Raw genomic sequence first — 4,940 nt, forward strand, 5'->3', positions numbered from 1 at the left:
CAGTGAGCCGAGATTGTGCCACTGCACTCTAGCCTGGGTGACAGAGCAAGACCCTGTCTCAAAAAAAAAAAAAAAGAAAAAGTTAAAGTGGCTTTGAACTGTCGTTCAGGGCTTGTCAAATGAAGAACAATACAATGTATTCCCATTATATTGCTTTTTATTTTTATTGTGGTATAATATCTTGTGGCCTGTAATGTTTCTGACTTAAATTTTAGGTTAGGTGGAGAAATTTTATATCAATGACTGTGTATAAATTATATCATTCATCTCTTTTTTTTTTTTTTTTGAGACAGAGTCTTGCTCTGTCGCCGAGGCTGGAGTGCAATGGCACAATCTCGGCTCATTTCAACCTCTCCCTCCCAGGTTCAAGCAATTCTCCTGCCTCAGCCTCCCGAGTAGCTGGGACTACAGGCACATGCCACCACGCCTGGCTAATGTTTGTGTCTTTAGTAGAGATGGGGTTTCACCATGTTGGCCAGGCTGGTCTCAAACTCCTGACCTCAGGTGATCTGGCCGCCTCGGCCTCCCAAAGTACTGGGATTACAGGCTTGAGCCACTGCGCCCAGCCATCATTCATCTTTAATGAATGCATGCACTTATCCAGAAAGTATTGAGTACCTAATATATACTGGGCAGTAAGATACAAAAATGATCAAGGCCAATTTTCACATCAAAGAGCTATCAGACTGATTAAGAGGATGAACATTTAAAAAGATAGTGACAATGCAGTATAATACATGCTGTATTAGAGACACATAAAAGATTCTGTGTAGCTGAACAGAGAGAAGTTTAATTCTCCCTGGGGATGACTTAATTGGGCAGCCCTGAAATTTAGAATTTACCCTTCAGGTGATGGATGGCTATTGAAAGCTTTAAGTATGGATTATGATAGGAATTAATTTATGCTTTAGGGAGATAATTCTACATGGCAGTGCTGAAGGTGGATTTGAGAGTGGCAAGATTAACAGCACAGACACTTATTAAAAATATATTATTGTAGTCTGGTGACAAATGATTACATCCTAAATTAAGACAGCCACATTGAAGATTAAGTGCAGATGAATGTAAAAGGTATATTCCACAGGATTTTATCACAGAACAGATGTGGGGATCATGACTACACTTTTTCCCAACAGAGAACTTACACAAGATTACATGATCCTTATTCCCAACTCAATCAAAAAGGTTGGTGTTAATGGCATCCGGTCTTGCAAAATAATTTTCAAATCTCATCACAATGGAAAAAGAAAACTCTGGAAGCTTACTATATAACATTTTGCAATAATATGCTTCCTAAACAAATAGCTAAGCCTTGGTTTTCTTTTTGAATTTTCTGACAAAATGTTATTTTAATTGAAGGCTTTAAAGTTCGATATTTCATAATCAGCAGAGTAAACAGATAACCGACAGAATGGGAGAAAATATTTGCACACTAAGCATCCAGCAAAGGACTAGTATCCAGAATCTACAAGTAACTCAAATCACCAAAAAAAATATAATAATCACATTAGAAAGTGGGCAAAGGACATGAATAGACATTTCTCTAAAGAAGATATGCAAGGCCAGGCACGGTAGCTCACTCCTGTAATCCCAGGACGCTGAGGCAGGAGAACTGGTTGAACCCGGAGATGGAGGTTGCAGTGAGCGGAGATCGCGCCACTGCACTCCAGCCTGGGGACAGTGTGAGATTCTGTCTCAAAAAAAAGAAAAGAAAAAGATATACAAATGGCCAATAAACATATGAAAAGATGCTCAACATCACTAATCATCAGGGATATGCAAATTAAAACCATAATGAGGTATCACCTTACCCCAGCCAGGATGGCCATTATTTAAAAAGTCAAAAAACAGTAGTTTTTGGCATGGATGTGGAGAGAAGGGAACCCTTATGCACTACTAGTAGGAATGTAAATTAGTACAACCTCTATGGAAACCATCATGGAGATTCCTTAAAGAGCTGAAAGTAGAGCTATTCAATCCAGCAATCACACTACTGGGTATCTACCCAAAGGAAAATAAGTCACATCAAAAAGATACCTGCACTTGCATGTTTATTCCACCATAATTTGCAATTACAAAGATGTGGAATAAACCTAAGTGCCCATCAATTAATCAGTGGATAAAGAAAATGTGGCTTATATACACCATGGAATACTATCAGCCATTAAAAGGAATGAAATAATGCATTTTGCAGCAACTTGGATAGAGCTGGAGACCACTATTCTAAGTGACTTAACACAGGATTGGAAAACCAAAAACCATATGTTCTCACTTATAAGTAGGAGCTAAGATATGAATATGCAAAGATATACAGAGTGATATAATAAACTTTTGAGGTTCAAAAGTGGGAAGATGAGAGAGGGCCTAGGGCTAAAAAACTACACATCAGGTACAATGTACATGACTCAGGTGATGGATGCACTAAAATCTCAGAATTCACTACTATATAATTCTTCCAAGTGACAAAATACCACTTGTACTCCAAAAGCTATTGAAATAAAAAATATAAACTAAAACTACTGAAAATGTAATTTAAAATACTAGCACACATGTAGTTGCAGAGATTTGTTTTTAATTGATCTCTATCCCTTGTTATTCTCATTGGTCTCCCAGGAAGAATAAACTGTTGCACAAGAAAAATAAATAAACAAAAAGAAAATTTGGTATTTCACCACAGTAACAGGAATAACTCATTTGTTCAGAAGCACACAAACCCTGTTCTTCTGTGGTAATAGATAACCCAACAGATTTGGGAAAGTTCCTTTCAATTAGTTAGACATTTTAACCTACTGTTAGAAGATTCACTCTTCTATATCTACATTCTCACCTTTGTAAAGTACTGTCAAATAATTATCTTGCCTTCACAAGTTGGTTGAATAGGTATGTTAGTTAACTAATTTTGCAGCAAGAAATTTTCATAACTGAAGGATATCCAGTATCTTATAAATAAAACTATGACCTAGTTTATATACTGTAATTTCTTACCAAAACTTAAGAACTCCTTATTGAATTCTTACTTAATTCATGGAAAGGAATTGATATGGCTGACAGGCCAACCTATTTTAAAGGTACTTATTTGGCTTTACATTCCCACATATAAGCAAGTGAAGGTTTCATGTGAATCAGTATTAGTACTGCAAAGCCTCAAGAATGAGACATTCTGTTCCGCAGTTATGCTTGTTATTGGAACCATTATTTTTTTTTTAAAAAAAAGATCATTTTTATAAACAACAATAACTGAAGTGTTCATACATGCCAGAGGGACTACTGGTTTCCTTTCTTCCTGCCCTCCCTTTCTTCTTATTGTCAGGAGTCCCTCAACGATTGAAGTTGTTTTAGCTCCAAATTGAATTTTTTGAAGGCCTTAAACCTTGATTAAAAATAAATTTACCAAAACATTGTCAAAAGTTACTTTAAAAAGTATTATATTGATAGTAAATCTACTAAACTTATTTATACAAGAGAATGTCTCTGGAAATACACAAGTGGTGAGAGAAGGGGAGGGGAGGAGAAGGCCTCTGAGGTAAACTGTGAAGGGAAGTTGACTGTGGGTAAGGGGCAGAGAGGCATTCATTGAACTGCTATTTCTTGAGGTCACTCTGGGCGAAGGGCAGTGCCTGGGGTCCTACTTGCCGGCCCAGGCACAGGCACGGAGTCAGAACATCCTGCCCCGCCCCTTCCCCCCAACCTTTCACCTTCCTTTCCAGCCCCACCCCGCTCCCATGGCCCCGGACCTTGGCAACGCTGCGCAGCGCGTCAGTCAACGTCACAGGGCGTGGGGGTGGCTAGAGGCCCCAGTGGCCTCTGATCTCACAGAGCAGATCAGCGCGGGTGTCCAGCGCCCCGATGTGGGCAGTCGGGGCTAGCCGCTGGGGCAGGCTGCCCCCAGCAAGAGGAGCGGCCGCTCCAAACCACAAAATCTCCAACGCCGGACAGCGCGGCCTCGGTCACCATACGCTACAGGCATCCTGCAGGCCATCGCGTGTGGTGGAGCGTCCGGCGCTTATCGTGGTCAGTCCCCCTCTACGCCACCGTCCGATTCCCCCGACGCCCCCGCCGACCCCGGAGCTTGCCCTCAGCCCCTTCATCTGCCGAGGCATACCCTTGCTGCCCATCCCACCCAGGGATCGCCACCTCTGCCCTCTACCAGGCTCCGGGCCCGGTGCCGAGGACTGGCCGCCAAGGGTTGCGGACTATGGCCCTAAAGCTCATCCACAAGGAGTTCCTCGAACTGGCCCGCGACCCCCAGCCCCACTGCTCAGCAGGGCCAGTGTGGGACGATATGCTCCACTGGCAGGCCACCATAACGAGGCCCAACGACAGCTCCTACCTGGGAGGGGTCTTCTTCCTAAAGTTTCCCTCCGACTACCTATTCAAACCACCCAAGATCAAATTTACCAACGGAATTTACCATCAACGTTAACGGAAATACGCGACAGGAGGGAGTATGGCAGAATAGCTAAAGACTGGACTCAGTAGTGTACCATGTAATTTCAAAATATAATTCCATCGCCTTAATAATAAAGATGCAGAAAGTGGCAGTTCACTTAATTGGTTATGTTTTGATTACTTTCTATGAAGGGTAGTCTCCTCATTCTTCTGGGCACGCCTTACGCGCTTTTCTTAGCAGGCAATGAGTGGAGGCCATAGAAGTGGTGAGGTTCTGGGGGTTGGGGACAGGGGCCTGCACGGTTGGTGGAGGGTGTGGCCGAGTGGGAAGTGAGGGTGTGTGGGGAGTGTAAGACAAACAGGTCAGTTTTCATTTAGTTTTGACAAAAAGATTTATTTGTTGATTTAGGATTGTGAAACAAAGCAAGAACAAGGGGGTGGTGGCTTTAAGATTGAGAACAGTTCCACTGACTAGTGGGAATTTTATTTATTTATGTATTTATTTATTTGAGACTGGAGTCTCGCCCTGTAGCCCAGGCTGGAGTGCAATG

The 4,940-nt window shown here is 42.1% G+C and overlaps 1 pseudogene across 1 annotated transcript; it reads left to right on the forward strand.

Annotated features, from left to right (window-relative positions):
- Positions 1–3,806: 3,806 nt before the first annotated feature.
- Positions 3,807–4,546, forward strand: UBE2DNL (ubiquitin conjugating enzyme E2 D N-terminal like (pseudogene); annotated as a pseudogene). The gene has a single exon (NR_024062.1). The product of NR_024062.1 is annotated as a ubiquitin conjugating enzyme E2 D N-terminal like (pseudogene) (transcript).
- Positions 4,547–4,940: the final 394 nt, after the last annotated feature.

The sequence above is a fragment of the Homo sapiens genome, chromosome X (genome assembly GCF_000001405.40).
Source record: "Homo sapiens chromosome X, GRCh38.p14 Primary Assembly".
In the NCBI taxonomy this organism is placed as follows: Eukaryota; Metazoa; Chordata; class Mammalia; order Primates; family Hominidae; genus Homo; species Homo sapiens.